Consider the following 25,146-nt stretch of genomic DNA (forward strand, 5'->3'; position numbering starts at 1 on the left):
TATTAGAACTTTGTCAGATGGGTAGATTGCAAAAATTTTCTCCCATATTGTAGGTTGCCTGTTCACTCTGATGCTAGTTTATTTGCTGTGCAGAAGCTCTCTAATTTAATTAGATTCCATTTATCAATTTTGGCTTTTGTTGCAATCGCTTTTGGTGTTTTAGTCATGAAGGCTTTGCCCATGCCTGTGTCCCGAATGGTTTTGCCTAGGTTTTCTTCTAGGGTTTTTATGGTTTTTGGTTTTACATTTAAGTTTTTAATCCATCAAAAGATATGAACAGACACTTAAGACATTTATGTGGCCAGCAAGCATTAAAAAAACATCATCATCACTGGTCAGTAGAGAAATGCAAATCAGAATTACAATGAGATACTATCTGATGCCAGTCAGAATGGCAATTATTAAAAAGTCAGGAAACAATAGATGCCGGTGAGGCTGTGGAGAAATAGGAATGCTTTTACACTGTTGGTGGGAGTGTAAATTAGTTCAACCATTGTAGAAGACAGTGTGACGATTTCTCAAGGATCTAGAACCAGAAATACCATTTGACCCAGCAATTCCATTACTGGGCATATACCCAAAGGATTATAAATCTTTCTACTATAAAGACACATGCACACGTATGTTTATTGCAGCACTATTTACAATAGCAAAGACTCGGAACAACCCAAATGCCCATGAATGATAGACTGGATAAAGAAAACGTGACACATATACACCATGGAATACTATGCAGCCATAAAAAAGGATGAGAGCATGCCCTTTGCAGGGACACGGATGAAGCTGGAAGCCGTCATCCTCAGCAAACTAACACAGGAACAGAAAACAAGCACCACATGTTCTCACTCATAAGTGGGAGTTGAACAATGAGAACACATGGACACAGGGAGGGGGACAACACACAGTGGGGCCTGTTGGTGGTTGGAGGGCATGGGGAGGGAGAACATTAGGACAAATACCTAATGCATGCGGGGCTTAAAACCTAGATGACGGGTTGTTAGGTGCAGCAAACCACCATGGCACAAGTATACCTACGTAACAAATCTGCACATTCTGCACATGTATCCTGGAACTTAAAATAAAAAATTAAATTAAGTTAAAAAAATAAAGAAAACAGGTCCCAGGGTCTTGCACTGGGGAATGAAGTCTGCTAGCCTCAAGACAACTGCTGAGTCAGAGGGAGTGGCACAAGGGCAAGTAAAAGTGCCACAAAGCTTTCCTACTATTTTTAAGTTGTCTTTTTTTTTTTGATTCAGTGTTCACTTGATTGCTGTAAACTTTTGACTTTTTTCCAGTTCTGACAACACGGTTCCTGACAGTTTTTATGTGTTTTTCACGTTTCTGTGGGGCCATGGACATTTGGAGCTGCCTGTTTACCATTTGGCTGAAGCCAACCTTTTTAGTTTTGATACAGCCCCCAAACATGAAGATCGACTCTTTCTTTTCTCTTTGATGCAGACTCTGTGTTTTCATCTAGACTGGACCACATATTCTTTTTTTGAAAATGAGGGGCTAGCACTATATAATTGCAAATATATTTTGTAGCTCTGAGTGTTAATTGTTTTATGATTCACCTGCCTGGGTGCCGATATTGTCAGTCCATTTCGGGTTTTGAATCCAGATGTATAAAAATCACAGCCAAGGAATTCGCTTTAACTTTTTAAAAAATGTGCATAAACTAAAAGTCTCTTTCGGATATATGAACAATTAACAAATGTATACAATTGGGCAAAAAATAACAAAATCAATATAGAGAACAGTTGCATCACCTTCTGTACATTTTCTTGTGTGTATTACTATAGGCTGTGAAGGGTACTAGGTGAATGAGGGGGAGGTATCGATGGTTAATGGGTACAAAAACATAGTTAAAAAGAATGAATCAAGACCTAGTATTCATCCCCTCCTCCACCTCTAGTCCATGGCAAACACTAATCTGAATTTGACTCCATAATTTTGCCTTTTATAGAATGTCATATAAGTGAAATCATAAGGTATTCATAAGGTAATCATGAGGTTTTCAGTCTGACTTCTCTCACTTAGCATAATAAATTTGAAATTCATCCACATTATTGTATGCAACAGTAGTTCATTCTTTTATTGTTGAAAAGTAAGTTTGTTATTCATTCACCATTTGGAGAGCATTTGGATTATTTTCAGTTTTTGGCAATAATGAATAAGTTGTATGAATAAGTTTCACTTCTCTTGGGTAAACACCTAAATTTGGGAGTCCTGAGCTTTATGTGAAATATATAGTTAACTTTCTAATAATGAAGAAACTTGTTTTTCAAAGTAACTATAAAATTTTGCGTTCTCATCAGCAATGTATGTGTTTTACGTGTTCACATGTTATTTTTGTTTAAGCAGTTGTGATAGGTGTGAAGTGATATCTCATATGGTTTCAATTTGCATTTCCTTAGTATGAAACATCTTTCCATGTGCTAATGTGTAATTTGTATAGCTTCTTTTCTGAAGTGTCTTTTCAAATATTTCACCAACTTTTTTCATTAGTTCATTTTCTTAAATTGAACTTTGAGTATTCTTTATGTACTTTGGATACAAGATAGATTTTTTGTGAGAAATGGGTTTTTGACTTATACTTTTATTTTCTTAATAATGTCTTTTAAAATAACAGATTAAACAATTGATACTGTACAATTTAATTGCTTTTCAATAGATAGTTTAATAGATGGTTGCTTTTGTATTTAAGAATCTTTGCTTACCCAAGGATTACAAGGATTTTTTTTCCTATAATTTCTTCCTAAATATTTACCACTTTGGATTTTATATTTAAAATCTGGTTCATTTTGAATGAATAAGAATTATTTTAAAAATTTATTTTTATTTTTTTGAATTATTTTTGAACTCATTAAAAATGAACCATCTTTTTTTTAAAAATGTAGTTCAATGTCGCAAGATAATTTTATTTTTTAAAACTGCTTTTTAAAAACTGCTGTTTGGCTAAATAAATAGTATCCCATATTTCGCAAAGCAAAAATTAACAAGTATAATGTATTTTTTTTGTATCAGGTGACAGTAGTTGAATTCATCATTCAAGTTCAGATTAATTTCTTTGAGTCTTCAAAGCTCTACACTAAATATTTGTCCAGTTCTCCTTCGAATCCAAAAACAGTACCACTTATCCGACCATGTTACGTTCAAGCTACTGGTATGTAATATAAAATAATCAATTGGTGTGGGTAGGCCAAAGATTTACACTTAAGTGTCTAAAAGATAAAAAATAGAATATGCCATTTGTTTTTCATAAATGGAAATATTAGAAAATAAAATTTTAAGAGGATTCCTTTGTGTGTCACTTAAATTGAGTCTATGAGATTTGAGTGTTGACAAACAGCGCAGATATAATCTCTGGCAAGCAACTTGCTAAAAAAAAGAGAATAGAATGAAAATCAGGCCAATTTAGTACATTATTATGTGGTCAATTTTAAATAATTAAGACAAAATATAAATTATTAAAATATTACAAAATGCATTTAACATAAAATAAAATAATAAGAATTTTGTTTAAGAACATATCTCTATTCCAAAGGGATGGGTTACTAAAAGACTGAGTACATGAAAAGAAGAAGTATTTTAGAAATTTGAAAGTTTTGCTGAATATTTATCTACTCATTTTCTTCAAATATTAAAAGATAAAAACTGATGTACTCTGCAAATTACATTTTTGCAAGTTGGCTTTGCTTTCAATTATATATGTATATTTTTCATGAAAAGAAAAGAAGTCTATATTTTGTTTTTATAGTTCTGATATTAAGTTAAATCGTCATTAATTCTAAAATAGTAGGGAGTATCATATCAGTTAATAATTGCATTTGGTAACTAGTAAGAGAGGTCTCACGAAAATAGCATGCAGATGATAAAAATATTTCACTCTCATTTAAAATCCAGAATTAGGAATTCCACAGCTGATATGGAGGCTCAATGAAGTTAAAGTTTTTCCCTTTGAATTAAGAATTTCTTTTGGAAAGTAATCATAATCTAATATTGCTTCCTGAATTAGGTAGATAAGCTTTCAAAACATTTACTTGTTTGAAAATTAAAAATTAAGATAGCATTGTTAAAGAAAATTGGAAAATGTAGAAGCAAAAATATCTGAAATTCAAATATTTAAAGTGTTCTTAATATTTTGATATCTTTTTTGTTCTATACATCCCTTTTGTTAATGTATTTTTTTAATATGCTTGTGATCTTACTGCTTATGCTAAGTTGAAACCAGCTCTGTTTCATTTTATTTTTTAATTTTTAGTTTTTGGGGGCACATAGTAGGTGTATATCTTTATGGGGTACATGAGATGTTTTGATACTGGCATGCAATGGGTAATAATCACATCATGGAATATGGAGTATCCATCCCATCAAGCATTTATTTTTTGTGTTAGAAACAATTCAATGATACTCTTTTGGTTATTTTTAAGTATATAATTAAATTATTATTGACTGTAGTCACCCTGTTGTGCTAGCTAATACTAAGTCTTATTCATTCTTTCTAATTATGCTTTTGTACCCATATACCATCCCCTCATCCTGCCCCTCATCCACCTACTACCCTTCACAGCCTGTAGTAACCATCCTTCTGCTCTCTGTCTCCATGAGTTCAATCATTTTCATTTGTAGATCCCACAAATAAGTGAGAACATGTGATGTTTGTCTTTCTGTGCTTGCCTTATTTCATTTAACATAATGACCTCCAGTTCCATTCATATTGTTGCTAATGACAGGATCTCATTCTTTTTATGGATAAATAGTACTCCATTATGTATCTGTACCACATTTTCTTTATCCAGTAATCTGTTGATAGAACCTTAGGATGCTTTCTAATTTGGCTATCGTGAACAGTGCTGCAACAAACATGTGAGTGCAGATATCTCTTTGATATACTGATTTCCTTTCTTTTGGGTATATGCCCAACAGTGGGATTGCTGGATCTTATGCCAGTCTTTTTTTTTTTTTTTTTTTTTTTTGAGGAAACTTCAAACTTTTCTCCATAGTGGTTCTACTAATTTACATTCGCATCAACGAACAGTATACAAGGGTTCCTTCCCTTTTCTCCGTATCCTCACCAGCATTTGTTTTTGCCTATCTTTTGGACAAAAGCCATTTTAACTGAGGGGAGATGATATCTCATGTAGTTTTGATTTGCATTTCTCTGATGATCAATGATGTTGAGCACATTTTCATGTGTCTGTTTGCCATTTGTATGTTTTCTTCTGAGAAATGTCTATTCTTTTGCTCAATTTTAAATCGGATTATTAGATTTTTTCTCATAGAGTTGTCTGAGGTCCTTACATATTCTGGTTATTAACCCATTTGAAGTTTGAAGTTTCCTCAAAAAATACAAATAAAGCTAGCATATGATCCAGCAATCCCACTGCTGGGCATATACCGAAAAGAAAGGAAATCAGTGTATCAAAGAGATATCTGCACTTCCATGTTTGTTGCAGCACTGTTCATGATAGCCCAATTAGGAAGCAACCTAAGGTTCCATCAACAGATTACTGGATAAAGAAAATGTGGTACAAATACACCCTTGTCAGATGGGTAGTTTGCAAATATTTTATCCCATTCGGGTATTGTCTCTTCACTTTGTGGATTGTTTACTTTGCTGCACAGAAGCTTTTTAAATTTGATGTGATATCGTTTGTCCAGTTTTGCTTTGGTTGACTGTGCTTATGAGTATTATTCAAGAAATTTTTGCCTGGACCAATGTCCTGGAAAGTTTCCCCAATATTTCCTTGTAGAAGTTTCATAGTTTGAGGTCTTGGATTTAAGTCTTTAATTACTTTTTATTTTATTTTTGTATATGGTGAGAGATAGTGGTGTAGTTTCATTCTTCTGCATATGGATATCCAGTTTTCCTGTGCCATTTATTGAAGTAAGTCTTTTCCCCATTGTGTTTTCTTGGCTTTTTTGTTGAAAATGAGTTCACAGTAGGTGTGTGGATTTGTTTCTGGTTTGTCTATTTCATTGCGTTTGTCTATGTGTCTGTTTTTCTGCCAGTACCGTCTGTTTTGATTATTATAGCTAGGTAGTATAAAGTCAGGTAATGTTATTCCTCTAGTTTTGAACTTTTGCCTAAGATAGTGGATCTTTTGTGGTTCCATATAAATTTTAGGATTGATTTTTCAATTTCTGTGAAGAATGTCATTGGTATTTTGATAGGGATTAGATTGACTCTGTAGATTGCTTTGGGTAATATGGATATTTTTACAATAGTGACTCTTCCAAACCGAGAACGTGAAATATCATCCCTTTTTTTGGCGTCCTCTTCAATTTCTTTCATTAATGTTTCATAATTTTCATTGTAGAGTTCTTTCACTTCTTTGATGAAGTTAATTTCTAGGTACTTAATTTTATTTATGGCTATTGTAAATGGGAATACTTTTAAAATTGCTTTTTCATGCTGTTTGCTATTGGCATATAGAAATCTACTGGTTTTTCTGTCGATTTTGTATCTTGTAACTCTACTGAATTTGTCATTTATAATATTTTTTGATGTAGTCTGTAGATTTTTCCAAATACAAAATAATGTTGCTCTGCAAACAAGGTTATTTTTACCTCCTCCTTTCCAATTTGTATGCCTTTATTTCTTTCTCTTGTTTGATTGCTCTGGCTAGGATTTCCAGTACTATGTTGAGTAACAGTGGAGAAAGTGAGTATCCTTGTCATGTTTCATATCTTAGAGGAAGGCTTTCAGTTTGATACTATCTGTGGGTCTGTCATGTATGACTTTTATTACGTTGAGGAATTGTCCTTCTATCTCCAGTTTTTTGAGGGCTTTTATCATGAAAGGATGTTGAATTTTATCAAGTGTTCTTTCAGCATTAATGGAAATGATCACATGGTTTTTGTCCTTCATTCTGTTGATATGATGTATCACATTGATTGATTTACATATATTATTCCATTCTTGCATCCCAGGGATAAATCCCACTTGGTCATGATGAATGATCATTTTAATATATTGCTGAATTTGATTTGCTAGTATTTTGTTGAAGATTTTTGCATCAATATTCATCAGCGATATTGGCCTGTCCTATCTTTTTTTTTTTTTTAAATGCGTCATTGTCTGGTTTTGGTATCAGAGGAATACTGGCCTCATAGAATGAATTTGGAAGTATTCCATTGTCTTCTGTTTTTCAGAATAGTTTGAGGAGGATTGGTATTAGTTCTTTAAATGTTTGGTGGAATACAACAGTGATGATACCAGGTTTTCCTTACTAGGAGACTTTTTATTATGTCTTGAATCTCATCACTTATTATTGGTCTGTTGAAGTTTGGAATTTCCCCCTGGTTCTGCGGTAGTGCTCCTCACACGGGGGCACCAGTTGTGGGGGGGTCTGTCCCTTGCAGACCCCTGACCCAGCGACAGATGAATGAAGTACACCGACACACAGATATTCTGCTTTGCCAGTCCAGCTGAATGTCTGAGCCTCTTAGAGACTCCAGCAGAGTCCTGTAAACAGTTAAGACTGTGGCCTCAATCAGTCAGTGAGATTTGCATTTATTTAGTAAAGATTAAGAGGTCCTGAGTAAACATCACTAGAGGGTAAAGATTCAAGGCCAGGTTCCTCGGCCTAAAGCAAACACGATTTGCAGGTAATAAACTTCTGCCGACCTCCTCCCCCGAGTAGGAGGCAGTTAAGCACCTGTGGTAGGACAAAGGTTAGTCTTAGGCGCATATAAGTAAACAGTTTGGTAAGATAAACTCCACACATTCCTTTGTATTTGCACCCTAATCTTTCTGGCTCCTGCAAAGAGACCCTGGCTGCCTTCAGCCAAGCAATGTGAAGCTATGCAAACTCTCAGGCCTTCCAAGAGAGGTTGTCGCTATTACTATAACTATCTTTAATATTTTTCCCACCCGCCTGACTGAACCCCAACATGGTGCAATCTTGGTGCATTGTATGTGTCTAGGAATTTATCAATTTCTCCTAGATTTTTCCAATTTATTGGTATATAGTTGCTCATAGTAGCCACTAATGACCCTTTGAATTTCTGCAGTATCAGTTGTAATAAGCCTTTTTAAAAATCTCTGATTTTATTTATTTGGATCTTCTCTCTTGTTTTTTAGTTAGTCTGGCTAAAGGTTTGTCAATTTTGTTTAACTCTTCAAAACAACAACTTTTCATTTCATTGATCTTTTGTACTCTCTTCATTTCATTTTTTAAAATTTCTGCTCAGATCTTATTTCTTTTTTTCTACTAATTCTGGTTTGTTCTTGTTTTTATAGTTTTTTAAGATGCATCATTAGGTTATTTGAAGATTTTCCTCTTTTCTGATATAGACACTTATAGCTATAAACTTTCCTTTTAGTATTGCTGTTGCTGTATCCCATAGGTTTGGATATGTTATGTTTTCTTTCTGTGAATTTGTATAGTTTCCAAAATTCCTCTTATTATTGATTTCTTGTTTTGTTCAATTGTAGTCAGAGAAGATGCTTGATATAATTTCAAATTTTGAATGTTTTAAGACTTGTTTTGGGACCTGACGTATGATTCTTCGTTGAGAATGATCCACGTGCTGAGAAGAAGAATATATATTCTGTAGCCATTGGATGAAATGTTCTGTATATATCTATTAGATCCTTTTGGTCTATAGTGTAGATTAAGTCAAATGCTTCTTTTTGGATTTTCTGTTTGGGAGATCTGTCCAATGCTGAAAGTGGAGTGTTGAAGACTCTAGCTATTATTGCATTCAGATCTATTTGTTTCTTTAGGTCTAATAATATTTGCTTTGTATATCTGAGTGCTCCAGTGTTGGGTTCATATACATTTATAATCGTTATATCTTCTTGCTGAATTGACTCCTTTATCATTATATAGTGACCTTCTTTGTCTCTTCTTATAGTTTTTGCCTTGAAACCTATTTTGTCTGATAAAAGTGTAGCTACTCCTGCTCTTTTTTGGTTTCTGTTGGAATGAAATATCTTTTCCATCACTTTGTTTTCAGTCTATGTGGGTCTTTATATTAATAGATGAATTGTGTTGCTTATAGGCAGCAGGTCACTGGGTCTTGTACTTTTATCCATTCAGCCAGTCCATTTACATTTGATGTTATTATTGTTAAGTAAGGACTTACTTCTTGAATTTTGTTATTTCTTTTCTGCTTGTTTTGTGGTCTTTGTTTTCTTCTTTGTTTCCTTCCTGTCTTCCTCTTAGGGATGGTGATTTTCTTTGGTGATATAATTTAGTCTCTCACTTTTTATGTTTAGTGTATCTGTTGTATTTTTTTGGTTTGAGGTTACCATGAGGTTTGCAAATAGTATCTGATAACCTTTCCTTTTAAGCTAATAACAAGGTAACACTATTTGCATGAAAAACAAATAAAAAAGCAAAAAGAAAACTAATGAAAACTTTATGCCTTAACTTCATCCCTCTGCTTTTTAACTTTTTGTTGTCTCTATTTATATCTTATGGTACTATGTCTTGAAAAGGTGTTGTAATTATTATTTTTGATTGGATCATCATTTAGTCTATGTAAGAGTATTTTACACACCATAGTTACAGTGCTATAATATTTGTTTTTTGTGTGTCCTTTTTTTAATTTTTCTCTTTTTTGAGATGGTGTCTTGCTTTGTTGCCCAGGCTGGAGTGCAGTGGCATGATCTTGGCCCTGCAACCCTCAACCTCCTGGGTTCAAGTGATTCTCCTGCCTCAGCCTTCCGAGTAGCTGGGACTACAGGCATGCACCACCATGCCTGGCTAATTTTTTGTGTTTTTATTTTTTTAATTGTTTATTTACTCATTTTACTATACTTTAAGTTCTGGGATACATGTGCAGAATGTGCAGGTTTGTTACATAGGTATACATGTGCCATGGTGGTTTGCTGCACCCATCAACCCATCATCTAGGTTTTAAGCCCCAAATGCATTAGGTATTTGTTCTAATGCTATCCCTCCCCTTTCCCCCCACCCCCCGACAGGCCACGATGTGTGATGTTCCCCTCCCTGTGTCCGTGTGTTCTCACTGTTCAACTCTCACTAATGAGTGAGAACATGCGGTGTTTGGCTTTCTGTTCCTGTGTTAGTTTGCTGAGGATGATGGTTTCCAGCTTCATCCATGTCACTGCAAAGAACATGAACTTATTTTTTATGGCTGCATAGTATTCCATGGTGTATATGTGCCACATTTTCTTTATCCAGTATATCATTGATGGGCATTTGGGTTGGTTCCAAAAAATATGGAACACTTCATGAATTTGCATGTCATCCTTTTGCAGGGGCCATGCTAATCTTCTCTGTATCATTCCAATTTTAGTATATGTGCCTCTGACGTGAGCACTTGTCTGTGTCCTTCTTATTCCCGGTGAGTTTTGTACCTTCAGATGACTTCTTACTGCCAATTAACACCATTTGCTTTCTGATTGAAGTACTCCACGCATTCCTTGTAGGACAATTCTGGTGTTGATCAAATCCCTTAGCTTTTGTTTGTCTGAGAAAGTCTTCATTTCTCCTTCATGTTTGAAGGATAATTTTGCCAGACATACTATTCTAGGCTAAAAGTTTTTTTTCTTCAGTACTTTAAATATTTCATATCACTCCAACCTGGCCTGTAAGGTTTTCACTGAAAGATCTGCTGCTAGACATGTTGGAGCTCCTATGTATCTTATTTGTTTCTTCTCTTTTGTCTGCTTTTAGGATTCTTTCTTTATCCTTGATCTTGGAATTTTGATTATTAAATCCCTTGAGGTAGTCTTCTTTGGCTTAAATCTGCTTGGTGTTCTATAACTTGGATATCTATATATCTTTCTCTAAATTTGGGAAGTTCTTTGTTATTATCCTTTTGAAGCAACTTTCTACCCCTGTCTCTGTCTGTTGCCTCTTTAAGGGCAGTAACTCTTAGATTTGTCCTTCTGAGGCTATTTTCCAGATCCTGTAAGCATGCTTAATTTTTTTTATTTTTATTTTTATTTTATCTCCTCTGACTGTGTATTTTTAAATAGACTGTCTTTGAGCTCACTGGTTCTTTATTCTGCTTGATCAGTTCTCCCATTAGAACTCTGATGCAAATTGCATTTTTCAGCTCCAGAATTTCTGGTTGATTTTTAAAAATTATTTCCGTCTCTTTGTTAATCTTATCTATAGAATTGTGAATTCCTTTTCTTTATTATCTTGAATGTCTTTGAGTTTCCTCAAAATAACTATTTTGAATCCTCTTTCTGTACAGTCACATGTTTCTGATTCTCCAGGATTGGTCCCTTGTGTCTTATGTAGTTCATTTGATGAGGCCATGTTTTCCTGGGTGGTCCTGATACTTGTAGATGTTTGTCTGTGTCTGGGCATTCAAGAGTTATGTAGTTATTGTAGTGTTCACATTCTGAGATTGTTTGTACGTGTCCTTCTTGGGTAGGTTTTCCAGATATTTGAAAGGACTTGGGTTTTGTGATCTAAGCTGTGTCTGCTTTAGGGGGCACCCCAAGCCCAATAACACTGTGATTCTTGCAGAATCAGAGAGGGACCACCTTGATGATTTTGGACAAGATCCAGAAGAAGTCTCTGAATTATCAGGCAGAGACTTGATCTTTTCATTACTTTCTCCCAAATGAACAGAGTCTCTCTCTCTGTTCTGAGACACATGGAGTTGGGAGTGGAGTGATACAAGTACTTCTGTGGCCACCACCACTAGGACTATGCTGTGTCAGACCTGAAGCACAGCACTCAGTTTCACCCAATGCCTCCTATAGCCACTCCCTGGCTACCACCTATGTTCACTCAAGGCCCTAGGGCTGTACAATCAGATGGTGGCAAAACCAACCAGTCTTGTGTCTTTTCCTTCAGGACAGCAAATTCCCCCAGGCCCCGGGTGGGTCCAGAGGTGTTGTCCTGGAGCCAGGGACTAGAGTCAAAAACCTTACATGTTTCTCTGATGTTCTATTATACTGCAGCTGAGCTAGCACACAGACCACAAGATGCAGTTCTCCCCACTCTTTCTTCCCCATTCCAAAGGCAGAGGAACCTCATCATGTGGCCACTGCCACCACAGGCCCACAGGGAGTGCTGCCAGACTACTGCTGATGTTTCCTTAAGGCACAAGGGCTCTTCAGTCAGCTTGTGGTGAATGCTGCCTGTCCTGGGACTCAGCCTTCAGAGTAGTGGGCTCCCCCCGGCCCAGGGCATGTCTAGAAATGTCACCCAAGAGCCAAGTTCTGGAATTGGGAATCCCAAGAGCCCGCTTGGTGCTCTCCCCCACTGTTGCTGACCTGGTACCTAAGGCGCAAGACAAAGTCCCCATTACTTTTCCCTCTGCTTTTCTCACCCTATAGCCACCACAGCTCTTAATGTGCTGAGTCTCACCTGAAGCCATCAAGTCTCAGAGTTTCACCCAAGGCCCTTGATGTAGAACTTGGGAGTCACTGCTGATTATTCAGGACCCATAGGCTCTTAACAGGTGATGAATACTGCCAGGACTGAGTTCTCCCCTTCAAGGCAGAGGGTGTACTTCTGGCCCACGGTGTTTCTAGAAATGTCATGTGAAAGCTAGGGTCTGGAAAAGGAGCTTATGACCCTGACTGGTGCCCTATCCTGCTGCAGCTGAGCTCTTATCCAAAATGTAAGACAAAGTCCTTCCTGCTTTTGCCTCTCTTCTCCTCAAGTGTAAAAGAGAGGGATCTCTTTGCAGCTGTGTGCTCTGCAGCCTTGAGTTAGAGGATGTGTGATGCCAGCACTTACTTAGCTCCCCCAGCTGGTGTCTTATTAGGTCACGTGCCTCCCCAGAACACTGGCTCTGGGCCCAGCTCGGCCATTAGGACTTACCTAGGAATTGCTGTCCATGTGGGCTAGACTGCCTTTCAATTTTATCTAGGGTTCCACAGCACTTTATTTTGAGGTGGCGAGGCTTGTGGGAACTCAGTTTTCGACTACTGGGATCAGTGATTCACTTCTGGCTAGGGCTGGTTTAAACACTCCCTCCATGGGTAGATGTCAGTTGTGTTTGATCCAGTTTGACTTTCTGCTCTAATAGGGCAGTACCGTACTGCCACTGCCGGGTATTTGGAACAGGTGATGTCAGTGATTCATGACTGTTTTACCTACTTCTTCAGCCTCTTTCAGTGTTATGAAGTTGAAACCAGGTGCTGTTAGTGGTCACTTGATTTTTGGTTCTTATGAAGTTGCTTTTTTTGTGTAGATACTTGTTAAATGGTGACCTTTGCAGGGAGGACCTTCTGTTTCAACATTTTGCTGCACTCATTCTCTCTCTGTTTAATCTTAATAGAATGTTTTACTTGGATATTGTAGTTCCTTATTAATTATTTAAATTAACCCTGAGAGCTAGTGCAAAAAAAATTCATCCCGTAAGTATCTCTTCTAGGTGACCTAAACGTCATCATAAGCATTTAGGTTGTTTCTTCCTTTTACCTTCTTGTTAATATAAATATTGTGGTAGTGAAAATTTTTTGTATAATACTTTTTTTCTTATTTAGAATTTTTTGGAGAGATTCTCAAAATGGATTTTATTATTTCTAAAGTGCATACATGTTAAAGGTTCTAGATGAATGTTGTCACAGAACATTTCTAAAGGGTTGTACCGTTTTACTCCCTCCTTGGTGTAAAATCTTATTAATGTTGACTTAAAGAAATTGGCTATCTTGACTGGTAATTTCTGCTCACACCTATAATCCTAGCACTTTGGGAGGCTAAGGCTAGAGGGTCCCTTGAAGCTAGAAATTCGAGACCAACCTGGGTAGCACAGTGAGACCCTGTCTCTAAATAAAAATGAAAAAAAAAAAAGTAGTTGAATGTGGTGACGCATATCTGTAGACCCAGCTACTCAGGAGGCTGGGGCGCGAGTATCTCTTGAACCTAGTGGTGAGCTATGATCCTGCTACTGCACTCCAGCCTGGGTGATAAAGTAAGATGGTGTCTATAAAAAAAAAGAATTTGTATATCTTTCTCTGTGATTAAAAATATATTATTTCAATGTTCAGTTTGATTGCTCATGAGGATGAGAATTTCCTACCTTTGCTTTTAATTGTATATTTTTATGTAACTTGTCTGTTCATATACTTCACCTTTAAGTAAAGTACCTTTGCTTTTTAAGTTTTTGTATTTGTCTGGTACATTTGGGTGAGCTGTTTATATTATTTTTATATTTAATGTGAATGTCTTCCAAGATTTGTTATTTGCCTTTAGTATTATTCATTTTCCGATAGATCTCTTTGTTAAATTTATGGAAAATCTCTCTTGTTCATGACGTCTAACATTGCTTGAAAATTTAGAATGTCTTTGTCAGCTAGAGGGTTGATAAATATGTAATACTTTATTAGACATTTTGTACTTCCAAAAAGTACATATGTAACGCATTTACAGATATTTTTGTCCTTCCACAAAAATTTGAGATGTAAAATCAGACTTACTTGTATTATATAACTTAACCAAAACCAAAGTTCACTAATGATTCAAATGATACAAGAAAAATTAGGCAAAGATGTAGCATTTCTTCTTCAAGAAGATGAGATCTGTCAGACACATCTTCCAAATTGTTCTTTTCTCCCGCCCTAGGATTCCTTTTAGTTTTGAATTAACAGGTGCGTTTTTAAATTTTTATTGTGTATATTTAAGATGTACAACATGATGTTTTGATATACATATACATAGTGAAATGATTTCTATAGTCAAGCAAATTAACATATCCGTCATATCCATCATCCCACACAGTTACATTTTTTGGTGGCAAAATTACTTAAAATCTGCTCTCTTAGGAAATTTCCAGTACACAATATAATATAATTAACATTAGTCCTCATGCTGTTTATTAGATCAGTTTGAATGACATTTCTATAAACCTTGTTCCCAAAGAATGCCATTTTTGTTTGATGCTCCTTATTTTTGTACTCTTAATAGTTACATAGATACAAAATGCCTATATGATAAATTTCTACTCCTTGTCATCCATGCTCCATAAATTCATAAATTCTATGTATTTTTGATAAGCTCTCTAGGCAGATATGTCAAAGGCCTTCTTCTTATAAGTCCACTGTGAACACCATTTCAATGTTAACAAAAAACTCTGATCAAGTCCATCATTAACTCCAAGGGAGTTAATTTTTTGAGAATTTTCATGTCTGAAAGTATCATTTTTCCTCCCACATTTGAATGATATAATTCGATTGAATATATAATTTTGTATTCAAATAATTTTTCTTCAAAATTTTGAAACTATGGTTATTGTCTTCTATCTTCTCTTGTATTTAGAAATCTGTTATTTTTCTTCTATATCCATTATATGCTACTCAGTGTTTCCTCTTTGAAGCTTTTAGAAACGTCTCTTTTCTCCTGGTGTTCCATTATTTTATACTGGTGACTTTCATGTGAATCTGTCATCATATATATATATGATTATATATATGTGATTATATATATATGATTATATATATATGATTATATATATGATTATATATATGTGATTATATATATATGATTATATATATACACATAAATATATATTTAGGGGATACAAATGCAGATGTCTTACATGCATATGTTGCATGGTGGTGAAGTCTAGGCTTTAAGGGTACCCATCATCCAAATAGTGAGCACTGTAGCCAGTAGGTAAGTTTTCAACCCTCGCCATCTCACACCATCCCACCTTTTGTAATCTCCAATGTCTATTACTCCATGGGGTATGTCCATGTGTCTCCATCGTTTACCTCCCACTTAAAAGTAAGAACATGCAGTATTTGACTCTGTTTCTGAGTGATTGCATTGAGGATAATGGCTTCCACTTTCATCCATGTTGCTGCAAAATACATGATTTCATTCTTTTTTATGGCTGAGTACTATTCCATGGTGTGCGTGTATGTGTGTGTGTGTGTGCATGCATGTGTGCATATGTGTGTATCACATTTTCTTTATCCAACATGTGCAGGTGTCTTTCTGATGTCATGATTTCTTTCTTTTTGGGTTTATGCCCAGTAGTGGGATGGCTAGATCAAATGGTAGTGCAATTTTTAGTTCTTTGGGAAATCTCCACACTATTTCCATAAATGTTGTACTAACTTATATTCCCATCAACAGTATATAAGTGTTCACTTTTTTTCCATAGCCTCACTAACATCTGTTGTTTTTTTAGTTTTTAATAGTAGCCTTTCTGACTAGTGTAAGATAGTATCTCATTGTGGTTTTAATTTGCACCTCGCTGATAATTAGTGATGTTGAAATGTTTTTCATGTTTGTTGGCTGCATGTTTGTCTTTTTTTGAGAAGTTTCTGTTCATGTCCTTTGCCCACTTTTTAATGGGGTTATTTGTTTTGTTCTTCTTGATTTGTTAAGTTCTTTACAGATTCTGGATATTAGTCCTTTGTCAGATGCATAGTTAATATTTTCTCCCATTTTGTATGTTGTCTGTTTATTCTTTCTCTTGTTTATTTTGCTGTTCAGAGGCTTTGTAGTTACAATAAGTCCCATTTGTCCATTTTTATTTTTGTTGTTTTTGGTTTTGAGGACTTGGTTATGAATTCTTTGCCTGGGTCCATGTCTGGAAGAGCTTCTTCTATGTTTTCTTGTAGGATCATTATAGATTATGGTTTTATATTTAGGTCTTTAATCCATTTTTAATTAATTTTTGTATATGGTGAGAGGTATGGGTCCAGTTTCATTATTCTGATATGAATTTTAGGATTGTTTTTTCTAATTCTGCGAAAAATGACATTGGTACTTTGATAGAAATTGTGTTGAATCTCTAGATTGCTTTGGGCAGTATGGCCATTTGATGATAATTGATTCTTCTAATCTGTAAGCATTAAATGTTTTCCCATTTGTTGTGTCATCTGTGTTTTCTTTCATCAGTGTTTTGTAGCTCTCCTTATAGATATCTTTTACTTCCTTGGTTAGTATTTTATTTATTTTTAAGCTATCGTAAATGAGATTGCTGTCATTATTTGATCCTCAGCTAGATTATTGTTTGTATATAGAAACACTACTGATTTTTGTATATTAATTTTGTATGCTGAATCTTTACAGAATTCATTTATCAAATCTCAGAGGTTTTTAGTAGAGTCTTTAAAGGATGTCAGATTTTATCAATGAGCAGGGATAGTTTGACTTCCTCTTTTTCAGTTTGGGTGCCTTTTATTTATTTATTTATTTCTCTTGCTTCATTGCTTTGGTAAGGACTCCAGTACTATGTGGAATAGGAGTGTGAAAGCTGGCATCCTTGTCTTGTTCCAGTTCTTACAGGAAATAGTTTTAGGATGATTGGTATAATTCTTTGTATGTTTGGTAGAATTCAGCTATGAATACACTGGTCCTGGGCTCTTTTGGGTGGTAGATTTCTTTTTTAAATTACTGATTCAATGTCTTTACTCATTATTGGTCTGTTCAGGAGTTTTATTTTTTCCTGGTTCAATCTTAGAGATTGTATGTTTCCAGGAATTTGTCCATTTCCTCTAGATTTTCTAGTTTGTGAGTGTACAGTTGCTCATAATAGTCTCTGATGATCTTTTGCATGTCTGTCATATTAGTTGTAATGTATCTGTTTTCATATCTGATTGTGTCTATTTGAATCTTCTCCCTTCTTTGTTAGTCTGGCTGGTATAATAGCTTATCCGTTTTTTAAACACTTTCTGAGAACCAGCTTTTCTTTTTGTTAATCCTTTTTGTTGTTTTTTAGTTTCTATTTCATTTAGCTCTGCTCTGATCTTTATTTCTTTTCTTCTGCTAATTTTGGCTTTGGTTTGTTCTTGTTTTCCTAGTTCCTTAAGGTGTAAAATTAGGTTATTTGTGATCTTTCTTCTTTTTTGATTTAGGCACTTAATGCTGCAAACTTCCCTCTTAGCAATGCTTTTGCTATAACCCACAGGTTTTGATCTTCACTATTGTGTTCCATTTTTGTGTTCTTTCAAATGGGGAACTCATGTCCTTTAGTTCTACAAAGCATTCATAAATTATTTCCTGAAAATTTTCAATCATCGTTTTCTATATTCTCAGATTACTATTGGTTGGATTTTATACTTTATGGATTATGTCATATATGTGTATATATATGCGTATATATATTTATTTATTATCTTAGGCAGTCTCTCTTATTGCCATTTTCCTCATCTTTTTATTGAATTTCCCAATATTTTTCTTACTTGACTTTTCTAAATCTTAAAATCTTATTTTGGCAGTTTTAAATTAGCAAGAGTTCTTAGTATTTACTAATTATTTATTTATAGCCTGTTATTTTTGGAAAATAATACCTTTTATTTCTAATTATAATATGATTTCATTGACTTTTTTCTGTTGACTACATTTTCACTACTTTTACTGAATTATTTCTTCCTTTATGTCTCTCTTTCATGTTGAATAGTTCTTTAATATCTATTGACCCTTGCCTGTTTGCTCATGTTTATTAATACCTCTCAAAAGGCTGGCTTTATCATTAAATATTATATCACTGTCTGGCAATCAGGATACTAATGAATGTTTTAATTTTAGGAAGTATGTCTGGGAAATTAGTCTGTGATCTTTAATCTTAGGTGGTTTGGTTTCTTCAGAAAATGATTCTATAAAAATTTGTGATAGGCAGAGTATAACTTATTTGTTTTAATGAAATAAGGCTCTCTAAATGGTGAAGTAATATGCCAGAACAATGCTTTGTTTTTAAAGTTATAGTCAACATATTATTTTCACTGGTTATTCCTAGATGCCAATTTGTAAATGGAAATACAATATTACATGTGCCACTTTTTTATATATCTGTGGTAACATTGTCTCTTTTAGGATTTCACATGACAGGTTTTGGGAGTAACACAAGGATGAACACTATCCATAACTTTCTCCTATCCCACATGTCCTGGCCCCCTGTCAAATCATCCATTAATTCCAGTGGCATAATAAAAACACGTGTAAGATACATACATTTTTAGGATCAGAAATTGTTTTATTTTATTTACTTTTTTTTTCAAAAGCTGGTGATACCCTTTAGTTTTCATTAAGAATTACAAATGTCTTAGAGGTAAGTTTCAAGAAGTATAGGTTTTTTCCAGTAGATTATAATATCTTCTCTAATGCAGTGAGTATTTTTACAGATACCCCTTTTCTTAATCTTCCATAGAATAGCCATTTACTCCCAGAGTTTTCTTGTTTTATCTAGGAAATGTTACATACTATGCCAGCTAAATATTTTCTCTGTATTCCAATAAATTTTCCTTCTGCATTTCTGCTCACTTCTGTGTTGTTCAAACTCTAGTGTGGAGATCATTTTAGCTCTGTTTACTTTTTTCTTAGCTCAATTTCATCTTTTTTATTATCTCAAGGATAATTTTCCTATTTTACTTATAATTCATTACCATTAAAAAAATTCCACAAAAGGGAACTTTGTTAATTCAATAAACCAAGATATTTTAGAAATGTTTTTAAATGTTATTTTATTTTCTGGTTGGGAATATAAAAATATATAGAAACAAATCTTATTTTCTTATTGTTTAGTGTTTTAAAGTATACTAAAAAGTACCTATGGGCTTATATCTGTTGACATTTTATCAGTATATTTATGTTCCTCTCACAGCATTGCAATCACCATTGAACTTATCTAGTACTAAGTTTGTATTTGAAATCCCTTTACATGAGATGAATCCTAATAACAAGGTCACAAAAACTCAGGTATGTATAAAGAAGTGATACAGTTTACAATTCTTTTCATGATTATGAATTCTAGTTTGTTAAGTTGATTATTCATAAGCATGAGTGATATGAACTATTCCCTATGATTAATTTCTCCCCAATTGTTTATGCTCTTCGGAGCAAGAATACCGGCATTTTTTAGAAAACTTACAGATAAAATTTCTCAGGAGTAATTTTCAAAATATACAAATACATATACAGCTATTTATAAATACATATACGCATATAATTAATAAGAATATTAAAATAAGTTTAATATAATTAAATTATTCCATTCTCCTTATACAAATGGAAGCTATGATTTAAATTAATATGAAATATATTCCATAGATAAAAGAAAATATGCTAGGAGGCAATAATAAATCTGAATAATAATAATAATAATAAAGTAGCTTCTCTATTGAGTTACTATTTTTTCTTAAAGGATATCTCTGCCTCTCTTCTAATTAGGAAGGAAAACAGACATGCATAAAAAAGAAGCTCAGCACACATTATAGAAATTTGTATTTGCACTGCCCCTTTTTGTCTTATATATTGCTATACCTGTAACCAATTTTGAACCTTTATAGCATTGAAGAAAAATTATATGGAGAGAATATTTAGCCTTGCATTAATAAAAAAATAGCAGAGTGCTATATAAAATTATAGTTAGAGATCAATAAAGGATCTACTGAAATTAAAATGTGACTGTTTAGAGTATCAAAAGTCAAGAAAACTACTTTGAATAGAACTTCAAGGATACAAAGACCTTATGTGTGGGGCTAGAAAGGCAACTTTAATTAACTGAATTTAATGGATTTCAGATAAAAACAATACCTTCATAAATGTGAGATTATTTTATATCATTGAAATTTTATTCAATCGATGTAAGCAAAGAAGATCTAGACACCAATAGCATTCTCTCTTTTGAGGAGAAAGAGGGACATTGGCCCCATGGAGAAAAAAAAAACGTGACTCTAATCTTCTACTTAAACTTCCCATGAATGATATTTGCAGTCATAATATATAAGATATATGGTACAGAGAAGACGTAATATGTTTATGGAAGGTTAATTTGACTAAAGGTTTAAGGATTTTGGAATAAAGAAATAAAATTCATTTTACATAGTGGGTAATTAAAGGATATTGTCTAAAGTACAGAGAAAAAGAAAAACAAGAGATATATATATTTTGCTTAAAATTACCAAGTTGACTAATGGAAGAATTTTAAAATTTTAAAAAATATGAATATCCAAAATAGGAAAAAAATAGGAAGTGGAGCTGAGTCTTCATTTTTCCTAGTGGGCAGTCAAAAGACAATATCTGAAGCTGATAAACCATAAAATACTCATGCTGCAGGCAGATAATGGCCCCAAAGATGCTTAAGTATTAATCTCCAAAATTTGTGAATACATGACCTTATATCACAAAAGATACTTTGCTGACGTAATTATGGTAAAGGACTCGGAGAAGGGAGGATTTTCCTGAATTATCTAGGTGGCCCCAATCTAATAACATGAGTGGTTAAAAGCAGAGAACCTTTTCTAACTGTGCTCAGAGGGAGATGTGATGACAGAAGGGTCAGAGTGATGCAGTGTTCAACTTAGAGGAAGAAGGCCACCAACTGAGGAATGCAGCTGGCCTCTAGAAACTAGAAAAGGCAATGAAATGGGCTCTTCCCTAGAGCTTTCAGAAAGGAACACAGTTCCTGCTAACACGTTGATCTTAGCCAAATGATATTTGCGTTGGACTTCTAATCTACAGAACTGTGATATATAACAATATATTTGTGTTTTCTTAAGTCCCTATGTTTGTGGTAATCTGTTATGGCAGCAACAGAAAACTAACATAAGCCATATTGGCGTCACATTTAGATAAAAACTCAAATCACAATTGGCTAAAATTGGTTGCTTCTGGGAAGCAGAACTTTTGATGAAGAGGAATTTGGTGGGACAACTGCTTTTAAACAAGCATTTTGAACTTTCTGTGTAAGCTGCATACATATATCATTTTGACAAAAATATAAAGAAAAAATAACACTAAACATACTGAACAAATTAACCAATATTTCTTTATAGATAACTGTATCATTTCATTTCTCAGAATTATAAGATATAGAAGATAGATAGTATTTTGGAAGTATAATAACTTTTCCTCATTTTAAAATGACAAAAATTAAGCTTCAAATGGCTGGTATGATTTTGTGCTCATTTCCTGTATTGAAACATGTTGTTTTCTTTAGAATGTGTAAATTAACCTTTTATAGTTAGGATATACCAATATTAGAGCTAAATAGATGCTTGAGTACTTCAAGGCTTGGGAAAAAAATTGGCTCGTTGTTTATCCTATATGTTTTAAATCAATCATGCTTTAGAAAGAAATGAGGTATGTATTTTGTTGTGCTGATAATTGTATGGCTCATTCTATAGTCTTCAAATATTTGAAGAGTAAAGTTAATGAAAAAACCTGGTTGATAGTTTTATTTTAATAGCAGGTTACATTGGAAAGATGAGTCTGCATGCAAGTCAGGCCCATAATGTTCAGATTTACTAAAATGTTTCAAAGCTAGTGCAGAGAATTTCTGATAGCTTTCACCCAACTTTACCTAACATTACCTTACACTACCATAGGGCATTTTTTTAAAATGAGAAATTAACATTAGTACAACATTATTGACTAAACAACAGACTCTATTCAGAAATCAATGGTTTTTCACTAATGTCCATTTACTGTCCCAGGGTCCAACCAGGATAGCACATTGCATTTAGTCTCATCCAACCTGTGACAGGCTCGCAATCTTGCTTATTTTTTATTATCTTCACGATTTTAAATAGTATTTGTCCAGCATTTTTTGAAAATGTCTTTTAATTTGAGATTGGTGTTTTTCACCTGATTAGACTGAGTTTTTATTTTCCATGGGTTTTGGAGAAGAATGTTACCGAGGTGAAATAATTTTTTTATCACATCATATAAAGGAATACATGATATGAAAATAACTAATTACTGGTGATGTCTGCTAGGTTTCTCCACTGTGAAGTTACTATTTTTCACTTCCCATACTCTATCCTTTGGAAGTGTGTGATCAATTTTAGCCTACAATCAAGTGGTAGGAGGTTAAGCTCTACTTATATATTACATGTATTACTTGGAAATTTTCTTTAAAAAAGATTATTTCCTCTCCCTATTTATTTATTTTATTACATAATATGTTAGCATGAACACACATATATTTATTTTTATACTTTCAGTTATAATTTAATATTACATTTTTTATTTTGTTGCTAAAATTGTTTCTGCTTTGGCCATTATAAGCTCTTCTACGTTGGTCCTTTGACAGGCTCCCATCATTGTGATTTTGAAGTATTTTCTTAGTGGTACTACCAAATGTTCCAGGCTCATCTTTTATTTTACTTGCTCCAGCTCTAAAATCAACATTTCTCCAAGATCCCCTAGTACTTTTTATTGTAGAATGATATTTAGAAACCAAGGTCTAAGTACTGTGTATAAGAGTTGCTACTGCATTGTCACAGGTTCTAGGCCCTTTCAACAATAGAGTCAGGAAATATGTGTATATATACTAATCCACATAGACACATATACCTATAATTATTTATATATGTGTCCCTCTCTCTCTATATATATATATCCATACATCCATCTAACACCAGCTCAGACTGATATCTCTAATCTAGCACCACAATGTCCATTCCCATCTTTCTCTCTTACTCATTTTTGACTAATTTCTCTGACAGTGAGAAATCTGCCTCTCATTTTTTACACTTCATTTACTTATTTTTTAATCCTAACTTCAAATAAAGAAGTTTCAGAATTTCTAACCTGTGGCCTATTAAAATTGCTGACACGTTTATCACCTAGAGTACATTATTCATACACAATTCTTACTCTTTAGCCTTGTAGCTTTCAGTCAAAAACACAGTTTTTCAAAGTTACTGACGTCAATTTCTCCCTACCCTAACTACATTCAATGAGGTTATTTCACACATTTGTAAGACAGTGTATCAACATTCCAAGATGGATTACAGACTGTGATGCACTGTATTACAGCTGGGTTGCTTGTTTTTGATTTACATACATTTAAGTTTACATAAGATCTTTGGGTTTTGAAAAATGCATGGAATAATGTGTCTACCACTTCAATGCCATAGAGAACAGTTTCATCAGACTAAAAACCCCTTTGTTTGTCTAATATCATTTTAAAGCATTTTATCTATGATTAATCATTTGAATTTATACATAGGCTCATCAAATTGAGATGGTAATACAACTAAACTTTAGATTGCATGCTATAATTTTAAACTTTTTTTGTCTTTTTGTGTGTGTGAGCAGAATCTTGTTTTATATAATATTACCAAACACCATGTGACATGGACTTTGGATCTTAGTAATACTGGCAAACTTTTCAAAGACGGCACATTCAAGTTCAGTGTACTGAATGGGATTCTACGACCAAATGAAAAGTATAATGTTTCCATAAGTTTCTGTCCAAGTAAGATATTTTCTCCTATATTTGTAGTTATACTTTCAATTTACCCTTCATATATGAAATTGTTTTATTATGTATACAGAAATTTAGATTATTTGTTATTTCTTTTAATTTGAATAATTATAAATAATACAATTTTATTAATCTCATTTTTGAATGTTACATTATTTAATTGACAAAGTTGGTATATATTCAAGGTGTACAATGTGAGGATTTGATGTATGTATACATTGTGTAATGATTGCCACAATGAAATTACTTAACATATCCATCATCACCCATGTTGTACATTAGATCCCCAGAAACTTGTTCATCTTATAACTGAAAGTTTGTACCCTTTGATCAACGTCTCCCCATTTCCCCCACTCCCAAGCCCCTAGAAGACAATGCCCTACACTCTGCTTCCATGAGTTTGACTTTTTAGATTTCATATGAGTGAGATTATACAGTAATTGTCTTTCAGTGTCTGACTTATTTTACTTACAATAATGTCCTCTAGGTTCAATCATTTTTTTTTTTTGGAAAGGGCAGGATTTTCTTCTTTTGTATGAACGAATAATAGTCTATTGTGTACATACATCACAATTTCTTTATCCACTCATCCATCAATGGACACTTTTATAATCTGGCTATTGTGAATATTGCTGCAATAAACATAGGAGTGCAGATATCTGAGATACTGATTTCATTTCCTTTGAGATTACTGGATCATATGGTAGTTCTATTTTTAATTTTTTGAGGAACGTTCTCAGAATTCTGCTTATCACATTCAGCCACTATAGTGCAATGTAATCTGTTTTTCATTTTATTAGACTTATAAAATACCCAAATTCCGAGGACACTAAGTTTTACACATGTGGTAATCTAGATAAAATACCCACAACTGGCTCAGTTATCAGTAGAAGTTCAGGCAGGGTAAGAATCTATTATAGCTTTAAAGCTTATTAGAGAGTTCATTGAAGTGTGCTCTCTCTCTCTCAATAATATTCTATTAGCACTGTGTTGCATTAAGTTGATGTTCTACTATATCTATTAGCATGG

At 33.9% G+C, this 25,146-nt stretch overlaps 1 protein-coding gene and 1 pseudogene across 3 annotated transcripts in view; one reads left to right on the top strand and one right to left on the bottom strand.

Annotated features, from left to right (window-relative positions):
• Positions 1-25,146, top strand: part of CFAP47 (cilia and flagella associated protein 47) — a 465,584-nt gene that overhangs the window by 92,013 nt on the left and 348,425 nt on the right. For all 3 annotated transcript variants that reach the window (NM_001304548.2, XM_017029452.2, XM_017029453.2), the window contains exons 22-24: positions 3,028-3,166; positions 19,507-19,601; positions 23,949-24,108. In NM_001304548.2, the coding sequence (NP_001291477.1) occupies positions 3,028-3,166; positions 19,507-19,601; positions 23,949-24,108 (394 nt within the window). The remainder of the gene's footprint in view (positions 1-3,027; positions 3,167-19,506; positions 19,602-23,948; positions 24,109-25,146) is intronic.
• Positions 10,194-10,299, bottom strand: RNU6-641P (RNA, U6 small nuclear 641, pseudogene; annotated as a pseudogene).

This window comes from Homo sapiens, chromosome X, assembly GCF_000001405.40.
Source record: "Homo sapiens chromosome X, GRCh38.p14 Primary Assembly".
NCBI classification, from domain to species: Eukaryota; Metazoa; Chordata; class Mammalia; order Primates; family Hominidae; genus Homo; species Homo sapiens.